We start from the raw sequence: 17379 nt of genomic DNA, 5'->3' as shown, positions 1-17379 counted from the left end.
ATTCATTTGGCACAACTTACCTTGACTGTGAATTTATCTAAATCTGATATATCATCTAAATTCTTTCATTTCTACTATCTTCATTTCTCCTACCTTCATTTCTCAAATTCTATGCTGATGACTAATCCTGCGAATGTCCTCAGTATTTAATGATATAGGCCTATAGTAATTATATTTATGATTATATTTTGATGGTATAAATCTTATCATCCTACAGTATCCACCATCACTACCTTCTCATTGGGATTTTAGTTTTCCTTTTATATTTTCTCGGTAGTATAAATAGTGGTTTTGTGACCAGTGATGAATTTCACAACAAGTTTCTTTAAAATATTTTACATTTCCTGGAAGGCACAGCACTCTATTATCCTCAAACATTAGACCCACTGGCCTAATAAATGGAAGTCTAAGAACTGGATCTGAAAGAAGGCAGATTAACCAGAAAATAGTATAAAATGGAATTGGAAACATTTCAGGCTTAGAAAAACTTGGGTTCAAACTGCATATTATTTCCAACTAGCCATAAATTCAGTGATGTAGTGTATTAGAAATGAAAGCTCTCCTCTAAAACTATGAAATGGATTCCAAATATGTGTGCTGTAAGAGGTGAGACTGACTATAATACACTTCAAAAATAATAACCAGACTTGTTTTAAACCTGGATTTTTTACGTAAAATCTCACACAGGAAAAGCAGTTGCACATTTTGCATGTTTCACCCATTAAAAAAGCTGAGGGTCACAGAAACAGAAACTGTGAGAAAGACACCCCAGTTCCAATACCACTGTTGCTGTGAAATATTCTGTAGGAAACCCTTATTCTTGGGGTATGCAGAAGTCTATTGCAGGGGGGCTCCTGGTAATTCTCTTTGTCCTTTTCTATTTCAAAATTAAAGTAGCCAGAGGAGGTGCATGTTGTAACAAAGAGGCACCTCACCTCAACTACTGAGCTCAAAGGAAAACATATTCAGAATTGCTATGGTTTGGATGTGTGTTCCCCTCCAAATCTCATGTTGAAATCTGATCCCCAATATTGGAGGTGGGGCCTAATGGGAAGTGTTTGGGTCATGGGGGAGGATCCCTCATGAATAGATTAATTTCCTCCCTCCGGGTTACTGAGTTCTAGCTCCATTAGTTCCCTGGAGAGCTGGTTGTTAAAAAGAGCCTAGCACCTGCCACCCCACCACCATTGCTTCTCTGGCCACGTGATCTCTGCACATGCAGACTTTTCTTTGCCTCCACCATGAGTGGAAGCAGGCTGAGGCCCTCACCAGATGCAGATGCTCAATCTTGAGCCTTCCAACCATGAGAACAATGAGCTATAATTTTTTTCTCTATAAATTACCCAGCCTCAGGTATTCCCTTTATAGCAACATAAAATGGATTAAGATAAGAATCTACTCAGGGATACATGACATCTATCACAAAACTTACCAACACCTCACAAATACTGAACAGAACCATGGTTATTTCTGTAAATTTAACCAGATAGCAAAATATTTTGATGTACTTCATTATATTTGGTTCACTGAAAAAATCTGTAAGCAAACAGAGGCACTTTTCTCTGGTTCTAGGAAGAATTTGATATATATGTTTAAGTCAACAATATAACCATCCCAAACATACCTTTCCCAGGCTCGTCTCTCAGAATCTCCAATCCCTCTAGCTTCCTGTTTTTTTATGCGTCATCTAAACTGAACTTCTTTCAGTTACCTGAGCCTTCCATGCCTTCTCTCACTCTCTAGCACTTATACATGCTCTTCTCACTGTCTGTAACACTCTTTTCTTTCCTTTGTGCCTGGATGATTCCTTCTTGTTTTTCATGCCTCACATTAAATGTCACTTCCCCGAGGAAGGCTTCCAAGACCCTTCACACTAGGTTAGGCAATCATGGGGGTAGGTGTTAGTGAACAGCACCCTCCTTCCCCAGCAAGATTAGAATTCACTGAGACCTAAGCTAAGGAATCAAGCCAATAGAAATCAAAATGCCCTTCATTTTACTCACGTAAGCTGCACTGGAGAACCCAACTTTCATCGGCAGATAAGTGGGGCCTGCAGAAATTTAATGCTGAGTTATGTAGATGTTTATCCACTGTCCCACAGGGGCAGCTGGACAACTGTAGAGCTCCCCAAAGGGGCTCACTCCTGTGTAATGTATGGCACCAAGAAACACAATGTGTTTTCTCAAAGCACGTTGACTGTTTACAGAGAGGTACTGAGCTGTGCATGTTCCCAAGAGGAGTAAGGAGCTGGAAGAGAGGCCGGGAATGTGATTCCAGTGAAACTCCCTCCTCACGAAAAAGGGAATAAAGCTTCCTCCCAGACAAAATGTACTGCTTGAGCAGCACTCCCATAGCACTTGATCACTTTGATAAGATTGCACATTTAGTTGCCTGTCTTTTCTGCTAGACCTTCAGCTCCACAACATCATCAAGGACAGGACCATGTGTCTTTTGCTCACCAGTTACCTCAGGATTAGCAGAGACAGGCTCTTAACATGCACACATCAAAATAAACCATCAGTCGATTAATGACTCATTCTTCTGTTCATTCCAAGGGAAATCGTCTATTGCTAACATAAAAAAGTTACTTGAATAAGGACGATTTATAGAGTTGTCACGCTTAGGACTCTTCGGATAGGTTGGCTGAGATAATTTAAGACTTTTAAAAACCTGTAGAAAAGAATATTACTGAATCTTATTTCAATAGGTGAGTGTTATTCATATTGGTTATATTTCTTTATTTTGACTGAGGCAGAGAGCACAGAGGAAGACTGGGAGAGGGGAGGAGGTAGAGGTGAGAGGGAGAGGAAAAAGTAAAAAAGAATTGATTCTCGAAAGGTATAAAATATATGGTTAGCAGAGATTAAACAGACTCTTAACTTAGGTTTTATTTGTAAATATCCCAAATAACTTAAAAATTGTTAGCAGGGAGACTTTATTTCTATTTGACAACTCACGCACACACAATTCCCGAGTTATTTTGTCCTCAGTTCTTCAGGAGATATAGAACAGCTTTAAAAGCAGTTGTCTTATCAGTTGGTAGGGGGTGAATAAGAACAAGTGTTGGCAAAGACGTGGAGAAACTGGAACCCTCATACATTGCTGGTGGAGATGTAAAATGGTGCAGTCATTTTGAAACAGTCTGAAAGTTTCTCAAAAGTTCAACACAGTGTTACCATATGACCCAGTTAATTCCGCTCCTACATATATACTTGCAAGAATTAAAACATATATCTATGCAAAAACTTACATATGGATATTTATAGCAGCTTTATTCACAGGAGCCAAAAACTGGCAACAGCCCAAATGTCCATCAATGATGAATGGATAAAATGATGAATGGATAAAAAATGTGGCAGGCGCCGGGCGCGGTGACTCATGCCTGTCATCCCAGCACTTTGGGAGGCTGAGGTGGGCGGATCACAAGGTCAGGAGTTCGAGACCAGCCTGACCAACATGGCAAAACCCCGTCTCTAAAAAAAAATACAAAAATAGCTGGGCGCAGTGGTGCGTGCTTGTGGTCCCAGCTACTCAGGAGGCTGAAGCAAAATAATCGCTTGAACCCGGGAAGCGGAGGTTGCAGTGAGCCGAGATCGCACCACTGCACTCCAGCCTGGGTAACAGAATGAGACTCTGTCTCAAAAAAAAAAAAAAAAAAGGGGGGGGCGTATATCCACATAATGGAATATTATTAGGCAAGAAAAAGGAATGAAGTACTGGTACATGCTCTAAGGGTGAACCTTGAAAACACTCTGTGAAGTCAAAGAAGCCAGTCACAGAGGACCACATATTGTATAATTCCATTTATGTGAGCTATCCAGAGTAGCCAAATTCTCAGAGACACAAAGAAGATTATTGTTTGTTAGGGGATGTTGGGGTTAGGCATGAATGAGGAGTGATGGTTTATGGATTTAGAGGTCACATGCTAGGGTGATTGCTAAAAGTGATTTTGGTAATGGTTGCACAATTCTATTAATATACTAAAAGCCACTGAATTGCACACTTTACATAGGTGAATTATATATGAATTATTTCTCAATAAAGCTGTTTTTGTTTTTTGTTTTTTTTTTTAAGTTAAGCAGGATGAGACTAGAAAGACAATGCTAAATCCTGAGGTAGGACTAATTCTGGTTCCCCTGCCTACAGCAGGGAGCCTACTAGAGAACAAGGTGCTCCATGCTGCCCACCTTCTTTAAAGATTCACATGGCTGACCTCCTATTGAGGCTTGCTTTACTAATGAGGTGATACGGTTGCAGTAACCAATTCTGAAAGAAATCTACTTGGTATCACTTTTAAAAACATCAAATGAGTGACTCATGAGATGAGGCAAAGGAAACTAGCTTACAACAACCAGCTCTGATGAGATGCTTTCTAACAGATACAGAGGTAAGATGGTCTGCAAGTTAGGACCCACATTGGCCCGCTCACACCAGGGCAGATTTGCTTTCAAGAAAAGGAACAACTGAAATATTTGCTTAGAGTGTTGTGTCTAGAAGACACTAGAATTATCTCTCATCCCTCTTGCAGTATTTGTCTGTGGGGTGTAAATCATCTATTAGGTGCCAGACTTTTTAAAGGTTATCTTCTTTCACCTCTACACCAACCCTATCAGCAAGATGGTATTATCTCCATTTTATAGGTAAGGAAACAACTAAAATTCAAACAGAAATAATCTTAAAGGGAGATTTCCTAGGCTACAGAGCTGGCATTTGGGAAAAGTGTTTGACTCCAGAGACCAGGCACTGTCCACCACCACATGTGGCCTCCCTCCGCTGTACCAGGCCAGAGGCAGAATTGCTTCAGCTATTACTCAAGAGAACCTGGGGCAGAGGTTTGCAGCAGCTTTGAGCCTACCTCTCTTGGCCAGGCCACCCCTTACAATTGGATAGATTTGTGGTCTTAGTCCCTGAAGTCAAGAGTAGACAAAAATTCATCCTTCACTTACCAGGACAGATACAAACCTCAAGATAATTTGTTCTCCAATGGTTTCAGCTTAAAGTTCTGGTTTGGCATTGGCTTTCTCACAACTAGCAGCTGTAGGCAATTTTCACACAGAATGGAGACATCAATAAGGCAGAGAGAGTGGAATTTTCTCCCTTATGAATACAGAACAATGAGCTGTCTTCAAGACGTACATGAAGCTACCACCACACGGGCTCCTCGCTCTCATTTTGGGAGACTGACAGAATATAACTGTAGATGTGGAATGCTTTGAGGGTGCCAGCTCTGCCTACCAGCTCTACTACCACTGAGGGCAGTCATTAGCTATCAGCAACACCTATGTCCTTTGGTTGACTTTTTTTTTTTCCTTTTTTTAATCCAAACACCAACTTGAGGGCAGTCATTAGCTATCAGCAACACCTATGTCCTTTGGTTGACTTTTTTTTTTCTTTTTTTTAATCCAAACACCAACTTGAACAAGAGACTTTCAGTTTTAAAACATTTTAAGTGGGAAACCCTGCCTGTCAATGCATCATTATTGCCCTTCTTGATTGCTGTCTTGGTAGATGATTCACTGCCCCTCCCTAGAAGAGGACTATGTGTCATCTGCCTGCCCCATGACCTCAGCCTTGGCCACATGACTTGTGGTACCAGTCTCTACAGAAGAAGGATGCCTCCTTATATGCAAACTCAGGTGTGGCCATGTGATCTGCACTGGCCAATGAAATGTGGGCACAAGTGACACCTGTTATTTCCAAGCATAAGCTTAGAGCCTATGAATGGTTTGCCAGGTTTGCCTTTCCTCCTCCACCCTTCCTGGGTATAGGACAGAAGACAGGAAGGAGCAGAACTATAGCAGACCCACAGTAGACACACAGCACAGCAAGCAATAAGCCTCTGCTGTTGCAACCACTGGGGTTTTGCTATCACAGCATAACCTAGTTTAAGATGACTGAGACAGTCATTAACATGGATTCCCCCCAACTTTTCTTCTCACCTTCAATTCCTGTTGACAGCTCACTTCCTCCATAAAGTCTTCCCTAACCACCTTCCTCATCTCCTTGACCCACACCACACAACACATATTACACACACAGGTAATTTGTGATTATTCTTTTGTTGCCATTATACCTTCTTCATAATGGATCTCCTTCTACTACTGTCAGATCTTTGGGGGGCAGGTTCTGGCTTTCTATTTCAAACTTCCTTGTTAACACCTGCAACAGAGTTCTTCATGCAGTGGAGATCAAAGAAGGAAGAGATTCCTTAAACACTGAAAATATTCAAGATCATAAAGCGTAAGTACACTGGTAGGAGTCATCTTTCCTTTTTCCCGACCAACTCTGGTTGGCAATAGGCCCATCGCTCCACGCAGGAGACCAGAAATCAAACATCAGCTTCATAACCTCTCTCATATTGGCTTATCTTTCTGCTTTATAAATGAATTCTGGTCTATAAGAGTTGGAGTGACATGGTCAGTTCAGATATTAACCAAGGAGAACACTAACGCAGCTTACAGTATGTCCTTGACCAAAGAATCATGCAAAATGAATAGTATTCTCTAGTGTCTGTTGAACAATATAAATGGTCCATTTAGAACTAACTCCATTACAAATGAGATCATGTCCTTTACAGGAACATGGATGGAGCTGGAAGCCGTTATCCTCAGCAAACTAATGCATGAACAGAAAACCAAACACCAGGTGTTCTCACTAATAAGTGGGAGCTGAATGATGAGAACACATGGACACATGGGGGGAAACAACACACACTGGGGCATGTGGCAGGAGGCAGGGGGATGGTGGATTGGGGAGAGTATCAGGAAGAACAGCGAATGGATGCTGGGCTTAATACCTAGGTGATGGGATGGATGACCTGTGCAGCAAACCACCATGGCACATGTTCACTTATGTAACAAACCTGCACATCCTGCATATGTACCCCAGAACTTAAAATAAAAGTTGAAGAAAAAAAAAAAAGAAGAACTAATTCCATTACAAAATGCCAGTGGTGATCAAAGCAGGATACAGTATTCATGTAACATTTATTAAGCATGTTTAAAGGCCAGGCACTGGGCCACTCCCACTGTGTGCTGTTCTCACTGAAACATTATATCAAACCTAGAAGAAGATGTTTTTTTCCTTCAGAAAACAGGAACAGAAAAATAACATGATTTTTTACAATTATGAAGATAAAATCAAAGCAGTGATTTGAAAAAAAGTCTTCCTAAGTCCTATGCTAGCACCCCTTTAAACTATGCCATAATATCTTCTGAAATACAGAATAGAAACACTACTTGATGCTTGAAAAGCTAAGCTGAAGAATGTACTTACATCTCTTGATGAATGGGTCCTGCACTAGATGCATCCTTCATTTCAGTATATTTGATTCTAAAATATGATAGTACCTATAAAAAGATTCCCACAGCAGTTATTATTCTAATCCTATCATTAGGCTAAATAATGATGCTGTACTGAAGTAATAATGTCTTTCACCAAAGGATCAATGACAGGATGGAAAGTATGACTAATTTTTTAAAAATACGTTAATACTGTACATTCGGTGTGGGGGTAGGGGAGCATTAGGGAATCCCAATAGGTGTGAAGTAAATGAAGGAATTATTTAGCATAATGTATAGACTAAGGACTGGGATGGAGACAAATTAGGAAGGGCAACTTAAGATGCAGTACTGCCACATATTTGAAGAACTGAAGGTCTAAATCCCTCCACCCACTTAAAGCACAAGCAAAGCACTTGGATGTAGTAATACTACCCTCTTCTAACTCTTCCTTCTCCACAGGTTTAGTGCTGACAGTGAGGGTGCAGACATAAAGGTGAATGGGGGCCATTTCACTGAAAAGGAAAAGTCCATGTCAAACCAAACCAACTCATTCACATCCTCTCCTCTTCTCCTTCTCTGGCTCCCCACCAATGCCAGGATAGAAAACTGGGACTCACCACCAGTTCACTGAACATGACATCCAGCTCCTCCACAGGGGGCATGGGCAATGCTGGTTCCATGGTCTGAAGCGCAAAGTTGCTATCATTTCGCAGCCGATACGTGATTTCTGGGTGATCATTATTTCGGAAACAGCAAAAGATGAATGAAATACCTCGTCCACCTCTCTTTCTTGGGGCCATGGCTGAATTCTGTTCTATTTCTTGATGTGACTAAACGCTGCAAAAAGAGGATATGACATGGTTAAGAGTACAGGAACAGATAAAATGATTTTTAAAAGGCCAGACCAACTCAAGAAAGAGCTCCGTGTGCTGACGACACTGTGTGCGCCCTGCAGGGCACAGAGAGAACAACACCGAGTGGGTTTGGAGTCCACTTGGACAGAGAACACACACCCTTCTATTCATTTGTTGACTGTTTCCTGCAATAACTGCTGAGCAAACAGGACAACTCCAGCCACTCTCCTGACAACATACACTCTAATCACACTGAGCTACTGTCTGTTCTTTGTACATCACATTCCCTTTCCTGCCGACCTAGTTTGTTCTTGTTACTCTTCTTGGAAGACTGACCTTCTCTTCCTTGCCCCCTAGGAGATCTCTTCCTTATCTTTTAAAGTCTGATTCCAGACTGATTTAAAAGTTCTCTTCCCTAAATAGAATAACATATATGCTATGACATATATATCCACTTTAGCATGATCACATTCTAAGCTCTTTATGAGTGTGTCTTCCTGTTAGGCTGTGGTAACTGAAGTGAGGGGAAGCGGCTGTGCATCAAGTATTTTGTGGGCCTAGTGCCCTGCACAATCCCAGGAAGAGAGAAGGCACTCCATAAATGTTCACTGTATTAACTAATTCAAATTTACAACAAAGCCAGGACTTGAGCTAGATGGGCCAGAAATTTTCAAACTGAAAAGAGAAAATGAATTCACCAGCAAGGAAAGGAAATGGTTAAATTACACACACACACACACACACACACACACACACACACACACACACACTAATAGAATATTATACACTCATTTAAAAGAACCAAGGCATTTGTATATGTAGATATGGGAAAATGTTGAAAATGCTATAGGAGTACATGATTTAAAGAATGTATGTATTTATAAATATATGAAAGAAATTACTAATAGCAGTAATCCTCAAAATAAAAACAGAGGGTTGGAGAACTATTCATTTTCATTTTTACCCTTTTGAATCCAAATTTTCACCACAAAAACATGTTTTTAATGATGATAGAGGGTATGTTTTAAGTTACAACTGTATATATTGCCTTGGAAAGATTTCCAGTTGATACTGTCTATTGAAAAAACCAAGTCAAAGAAGAACAATAGGCATAGCATGATGCCATTGCGTCTTTTTAAAAACGTCATACAAAAAGCCATACATGTAAATTAATTTCCACCAAATGGTCCAGAAGGATAGACAGCAAATCCCTAATTCCTCTCTTCTGAGAGTGGAATAAGATTAGAAAAAGGCAAGAAAAAAAATGTTCTTTTCATGCTTTTTTAAGAATAGTGGATACATTTAGATGTGTAACTGTTATAAGTCTTCAATGAGGTTAAAAAAGAGATGAGGTTAAAAGAAAAAAAAAAAGGTGGGATGAGAATTGGTCCTTCAAGAGATGGAAGGGCAGGGGAGGAGAAACATATCTTGGTCAGGGAAGGTGGTAGAACAAGGCTGTGAATGCATTATTTATATACTTAAATATAAAAGTATACACATAGAAGAAAGACTAGGGTCAAGTTTGTCAACATTTAACAAATGTGGACAGTGAGAAAACAGATGCCTTCCTTGAACTTTTTTTTGTTCTTAAGTTTTAAAAGTAAACTCCAACCCATCGACTTATGGCATCTTCCAAATCAGATAATCCAACTCCAAAATCTGTAGCCAATTTCTTGATTTTGTAATTAACACTACTACGTAAATAAGTAAAAGCACTCATAAACAACTATAATTTCCAGAGACTTCCACAGTCTAGTCCTCCGCTGACTTGAAGGCAAAGTGGTCTCTACAGTCAGGAACTGGGAGGTTCTGTGACGGGAAGAGAGGGAAAGGTTAAAAGCAGGGTGTCTATCACAGAGTCCACAATGATGCTGTAACTGGCTCTTAAATAAAGACTAAGCCAAACATCCAACATCCTGTTCTGTTGAAGCATATGTCTCCTGGCCTAGGGTGTACTTGTGCAAGGTCATACTGAGACATATGTCATAATTGGGATTCCTTTGGCATATGTGCATTAATACCCACTATGTACCAGGAATGACAGTAGTCACCTAAGCATATGGAAATGAACAGGTCACTCACTAGAAGCTCATAATCTAGTGAGAGACAGTAGTTCACCAGATAGTTATAATAAAGGTAATATGCCAGTAAGTGCCATGTAAACTGAGCAGGATCTGGGGGTGGTCCCTGATGGATGAGTGGAGTTTTGACAGAATATGGAAAACAGGGTCTTTAGGCAGAGGGAACAGTACAAGCAAAGGCATGAGGTAGGAAGGGGCATGAAGGGTACAGGGAATGAGTGGTATAGTATAGACTGTGCTGTATATGCCACCATCTTCTCAGAGCAGAGCCCTGGCTCTCATATCCCTGCTGAAAAATCTGCCAATGGCTCCCCAATACCATTCTAAATTGGCTTTCAGTGGATTTCAGCTCAACTTTTCTGTCTTTCCTACTTCCTCAAAAATATCCTACACTTTACTCAACAGGCCATTTTCCATGCCCCATAAACATCTTGCGCTCCTCTCACCTTCCACCCAAGTAGACTACTCATTCCTTCTCGCTCTTGCCTTTGTCTAGCAACATCCTCCCACCCTGAAAGTACCAATCCTGAGAGTACACCCACTGCTACTGATAGCTGAAATTCAGTTCTACATTTCTGAAGGGCAATTTATCAAAGTCTTAAAATGGTCACACATTTTGACCTAGTATTTCTACTTCTGAAAATGTATGCTTAGGAAATATTCAGAGATATTATCAAAAATGTTTTCACAGAAATTTCCAAAGCATTATCTGCAAGAGCAAATAAGGGCATAGAATAAGTGCTTGTAATGAAGGACTATACAGAAAAGGTAAATAAATTATGGTACAACTAGATAACAGACTACCAAGCAGCCCTTTGTAAAATAATATTTAATGACATGCAAACACATAAAGAATAAACAATACAGTGTCCCATTTTTGTGAGAAAAAATTTACATATATGAGCAGGATAAAAGGACAAAATAAATATAACAAAATACAGGCAGCAGTTAGTTCTGTGACAAATGTAGAGATTACCTTGTTTGTTTTAACAAACAAAAAGACTCTTCTGCACTTCCTAAGTTGGCATATTGAAGACATACTATTTTCACAATTAATAAAGTGAGATTTAAAAAACCCATTGATATGATTATCTGCTTATATTAGAGGGGGAAATGAGCATGAGTATGCAAAAATGTTCCTATCAAAAATATCCAAGTTAGGTTAATCTACATACCAGCTTTTCAAACTATCTGTGGTAAAGGACTAGTTGTTTTCATCCAATCTGTTATAAACTGAAAGATCTCAGCAATGTCAAATTGCTATAAAAGTTTAAATGCTTAATCTCAATTTTTTTTTTTGAGACGGAGTCTTGCTCTGTTGCCCAGGCTAGAGTGCAGTGGCGCGATCTCAGCTCACTGCAAGCTCCGCCTCCCGGGTTCACGCCATTCTCCTGCCTCAGCCTCCCCAGTAGCTGGGACTATAGACGCCCGCCACCACATCCAGCTAATTTTTTGTATTTTTAGTAGAGATGGGGTTTCACCATGTTAGCCAAGATGGTCTCGATCTCCTGACCTCGTGATCTGCCTGCCTCGGCCTCCCAAAGTGCTGGGATTACAGGCGTGAGCCACCACGCCCGGCCTAATCTCAATTCTTGTACCCAACACAGGTAGGCAGCAGCAGCGCTGATGTACATTAGGACATGGGAGTCATTACTTATCTCATTAAAATATAACTGTTAATATTTGTCTCTGGTATGTGTCCTCAGGGCAGGGACCACATCCCACTCAGAAGCCAGGCCAGTGTCCCATATCTTATCCTTGGTAAACTGAAGAGAGATCATTCTGGGACTACTGACAAGGTCTGTATGACTGTGGGGGATGGGGAAGTGTTCCCCAGGAAGACAGGGCAGGAAGGCAGTGTTCAGGCTACCAGGAAATGAGGGCAAGAAAATTAAGTAAGCTAAAATAGGCAAGGACCAGCTCATGCAGGGTCCTACGGCCCACATTCAGCCTTCAAAGCTCATTTCCAGCTATCTCTTTCAGGCAGTCTTGTTAATCTGCCTAACTAGATATGGTCTGGGCTCTCTTAGCATTTTGTGACCTCCATCATGTACAGCCAACAGTTAACTGTAAATCGAGGTCTGGGTCTTTATTCCCTCATTGAAGAATCGGGAGGAAAAGTGACATGGCACATGTCACTTAGTGTTTTGCACACAGAGGTACAATCAAAGTATTTACAGAATAAATAAACAGCAATAGTTTTCCTTTTGCATGCTACAAGTTTCACTTAAACCCAAGTTATATTACATTCTGGCTGCACTGAGGAGGGGCGAGAAGTCGGGGGTAACGTTAAGATCTAAAAATCAGTCCAGAGCATTTTTCAAGTCTTAAAAAGAAAATCCCAACAGTTCTGTAAACAAAAGAATATGAAGTTCTTGGCTAGTTTCGGAGATGGGTAATAAGACACAGAGTCTACTATACTTAAGAACCTAATTGAAATCCTTTCAATAAGTACCAAAATATTGCCTTTGACAGGTAATTTGTATGTGGAAGCCTCAGTGAAACCCAAAGGCCAAGATTTTATGCTGGCTCCTCCATGGATCCCCAAATACAAGGTCCTTTATTAAACCCATCCCTAAACTCTAGATGATGGCATGTGTTGGAGATTTCCAACAGGCATCCATTTTTTCCCCATATATGGAGCTCCACTATTCAGAGCCTAGTCTTTCAGATACAGACCAAAACAGGAAACAAAAGGAATCATTCCGCTGGACCCCTCAGAAGAACCTGCCCACCTTAACTTCCCTAGCACTTCACTGACTAGTGATCCCAACAACTGCCCAGTATATATGATTTAATATGCATATTCGCACCCATCACTTCATTTCATCATTCTCATTTCACAGGTAAGACTTAAGAGGAGACTATCACTTCATTTCATCACCCCCATTTCATAGGTGAGACTTAAGATGGAAGGAGGTGGGCCATCAGGAAGACAGAAGTTTGAGGGGCCACACACTGAAGAGGTCTCTGCACTGGCCCTTAACAACTTGATTTTCCAGCCCCCATCTCCCAATACCCTGAATGCTGCCCATGCCCAAACACACTTGATTTGCTGGTAAAGGTAGAGATGTTTATGCGGAGAAGCCCATACATCATAAAAGTAACAACAGCTGCCCCAGCCCATCATATCCATCCATTTCATCATTAAGTCAAATGTTTATCAAGTAAAAATTATGAGCCAAATATTCCAAACACTGTGCTGGGCACTAAGGGAAGAGGGATGAAAATGAGAAAAGATGCCTGTGTGCTTTGGGGAAGGCAGGAAAAAAATCAAGAAAACTAAAACATTATTCCTGAAGTTGGCTCATGTTATAGGGGATGGAAGGAAGAACGTGAAGAGCAATGGTGGTAGTGGTGGGAGGGCAGGTCCTTCAGATAGTATGATCAGGGATGGCCTCTCCTGACCACATGCATTTAAGCTGAGACCTGATGGATAAAATGGGACCAGCCCTGCAAAGTGTTGGGGAAGAGGATTCTGGGTTAAAGGAGGTGTGTGTGAAGACCAGGGCAGGTGGGGAGCCGGCATGTTTGAGTCACTAGGGAAGACCAATGTGGCTGAAGCCTAATGGGCCATGGTGGATGCTGAGTCGTGGGGGTGCTAGGAAGGAAGAGGCTGAAGATGGCAGGGTCCAGACCAGAGGAGTTACGTGCTGGAAGGAGGTCTCTGCCCTGACCCTTGCCAACTTTATTTTCCGGCCCACATCTCCCAATACCCTAAACATGCCTCATACGCAGGCACGTGCGTGCACTCATCAGTCCTCGGCAATGGTTGCACTTTTCAGCCCACACGTCTACAGTGTCCTCAGCCTGCGGTGTCTTCCTTATCTGGCTCTCTTCCACTCACCATTCAAGATTCTGCTCAAATACTGCTGCTTTGTAGGCCTTCAGTTTCCCAGGACAGTTACACATTTCTTTCTACACCTCTAGCATGATATACATATTTGAGTGCCTTTTTTTTTTTAATGTCCATTTCCCCCACTAGACTGTGAGATCCTGATGGCAGGGATTAAGTTTTAGTCAATCCCTGGCACGTAGTATATTCTCAACAAATGTTTGTTGAATGCAAAAGTATAAATTCCTAAGTGAACAGATGGTCTCACCTCTGAATGTCAGAGATACGTGACTGGGTGTTCTTCCCATAGTTGTCTGCAGATCCGTTTTCAAACCCACCAAGACATTTGAAGCCAATCAGATCATCAAGTTCTCCTTAGGCACTTGTCAAGCTTTCTGATGCTGACAGAAGCCTCATAAATGAATTCCATCCTTGGGATATTTGCAGCTTTCCAGCTTCCCAAGAGCGAGGAGTTTCTGGCCAAACTAGCTGGTGCATAGTTTTTCAACTCATTCCCAAGTAAGTGCCATTGAAAAGAGACTCGCTGATAAAATCTTTTAGACATTTCCCCAATATCTTATATTCAGTCAACATTTTGCCCAAGAAAATATTCACTGACTCAGCCATCATGATCTGAACCTCCTCAATACACCCACAGAGTGTTAGGTACTGGAGACACAGACGAAGAAAACTCAAAATGCCATTTTGGGAGATCATAGTCTAGTGCAGACATACAGCAGGGAGGGGAGTTGGTCCTTTTCCTGTCCGATGAAGAAGGAATGCATAGCTTCTGAAACTAGGGACCTAGGTTTCCATATCGGTCTCTTTTTAATCAGATCAGCCTGAGGAAGAGGACTAATTCCACCATGACAGCTGGGCCCTGAACCAGAGCACATCTTCTAATCTCAGCTTCTGGCATTGTTGCAGAGGAAGAAGTCACTTCTGGGACATCCAAACTGCAATCCATCTATAACATTACAGATGACTAGTGCTATGCTATACACAAGGAAACAATTTAAAAAGCTTCTTAAGATTCTGGAGCAGGTGCATTTTCCTTAGCAAAGAGTAAGAAATCCAATCCATCTGTGGCCTAGCTAGAAGTCAGAGTCATTTGTACTGCTCTTCAACAAAACAGGCAAGACTCTCAATGTAGCAACAGTCAAAAACTGAGGCCAAATTTTAGGGAATGTGGATGATGATAATTATGATGATAAAACATTGGAGAACAACCTACAGTCCACAAGAAAACCCTCCCTAATACTTTCCCTTTGATAATGTCAAGTCACAATATATGTGATAAGTAAAGTTTGTTTTCCACAAACCAAGACACAATCAGTATTTAATACATGAGTGAAATGTTAAGGTTGGCATAAACAAAACAGATTTTTGCTGATATGCAGACTATTTTAATTGATCCATCAGGACTTCTGCCACACATTTATAAGATGACTGTCCAGACTGAGGAATCCAATTGCCAAGGTTTTCCTCTAGCTAGAGGGGTTTAGTGGAAATGGCAGTCAAGATATGCTGGAGGGAGGGAGGGAGGGACAATTAGTTCCTGAGAGCCACCAACTTGGTTAGAAGTTGTGAGAGTTTTTACATCCACTTGCAAAGTGCAGTGGGGACCATAATTGTTCTTCCCCACTTCTATTATATGAATCAAGATAGACAGCATTTGACATTGAATTTTCCTAAGAATTATAATCTCAACACTAAAATATAGTCATTGTTCTGGTACTATAAATGGTCTCTGGAATTTCTGAAACAATAGAATTCATGTCACAACCATAAAAAGAAGGACAAGAAAACAGAGTTATGCAATAAGAGCATCTTTAAAGAGAAAGGTTGGGGGACCCTCCACTTTAGTTGCCACACCCATGTTTTCAGAACTGCAGTTTACCTCACATTTTGCAATTTTCCAGAGGGCTCTGATGTGTAATTTGCATTGCAACAACACAATAATGTTAACCCAAATTGTCTTATCAAGAAAAATGTGAAAGGAAAAAAACTACTTTGCTTCTCTCCTTGGCCATCCCTCTCCTCTCTCACATTCCTCATGTCTGGTTTCATTTCCCAAATACACCAGATGCCAAATACTATTTGGAGCTTAAAAAAAAAATCACGGGATATAGTCTAAAGCTTATAGGAGAAACGTCTGAAAGGGAATTGTGTGTTCCCCGCAGGTTTCAACATCCTCTCCATCAGGAAACGGAAAGGGCGTTTCTCAGTCAGTGTGTTCAGTGGAGGGACAGCCCTGCCCATACACTTGATCACAAAAGGATGTTCTAATAGGGCACTTCTTGGAGTGGCTCCTGGAACTTCACCCAGCAGGTGGTCCTCTAGACCCAGTAACTTTTCTGAGGCAAGAGGAAAATAATGAGAGCATCTATGCACAGGGAAACCAATATGCAAATGTTCAAAAAAGCCATTAGCATCCTGAAAACACTTTCTACTTCTGTCTGCTCTCTCTGCCTCAGCATAGGCAGGGGACACAGAGTGGAAGCCAGAACTGCCCACTTTCTCCCTAGATAAGGGAGGAGGGCACCCAGGTGAAGTCCATGCATACCCTCAGGCCAAACCAGGCCTCAACCAGCATGTAATTAACAGGCTTTCTCCAAGCCCTGCCAGAAACACTATGCCCAACTCTGCATGTAAGCAGCAAAGAAGAGGACCTCCAAGTTTTGATCCTAAAAAGCTGGCAACAACTGTTCTGTGTCACGTAATACCATAACCATGGGTTTAGGGTATAAATCCCTAAAGCCAATATAACAAGGTTCTCGAGTTAGGAAGTTTGTGCTGTTCACGTGACAGAAACCAGAGTCTGGAAGCCAAGACATCTCGTCTAGATCATCTGGGAGAGGAGCCAAACCCAAAGTGTCCTTGGAGCACCCGAAGACATCACAGCTCACAGAGAGCTGTGCCCTCCCCCTGCTGACCTGTTGCTAGTCTGTGAGTTAAGTCAATAAACAAATGTAAGCTGAAGTCAAAAGAAATGCAAATAATTTTCTCCCTCTGGGTTCCAATCTGTCTCTAAGGGATCCACTCAGATACCGTACAAAGACAAATTTAAATTGTGGAGGCTACAAAAACATAAAATATTACAACTCCACAGCCAGCTTTGTCACATCAAAGCTCTCCCTCATCTAAGAGGCCAAGTTTTGTTCTTTACAAATATACAAAAGAATGCAACTTTCCTGAATCACCAGCAGTTCTTTCAAAAATCTGAGACTAAGGCCAGCAGTCATGGAAAAGAATACTTGTATGTTACAAGATACCGGCAATCACCTGTACTCTACACACTCTGGTCCTCTATGATCCAGGTGTAA

General features: G+C 41.2%; 1 protein-coding gene across 5 annotated transcripts in view; it reads right to left on the bottom strand.

The window, feature by feature from the left end:
* DAAM1 (dishevelled associated activator of morphogenesis 1) overlaps positions 1-17379 on the bottom strand; it is a 182739-nt gene that overhangs the window by 99845 nt on the left and 65515 nt on the right. For all 5 annotated transcript variants that reach the window (XM_005267431.2, XM_047431135.1, XM_005267430.3 and 2 more), the window contains one exon: positions 7901-8120. In XM_005267431.2, coding sequence (XP_005267488.1) covers positions 7901-8083 — 183 coding nt within the window. In that variant the 5' untranslated portion in view covers positions 8084-8120. Of the gene's footprint in view, positions 1-7900; positions 8121-17379 lie in introns of those variants that run through there.

Source organism: Homo sapiens, chromosome 14 (assembly GCF_000001405.40).
Source record: "Homo sapiens chromosome 14, GRCh38.p14 Primary Assembly".
NCBI classification, from domain to species: Eukaryota; Metazoa; Chordata; class Mammalia; order Primates; family Hominidae; genus Homo; species Homo sapiens.
This window is presented reverse-complemented; position numbering and strand designations above follow the sequence as displayed.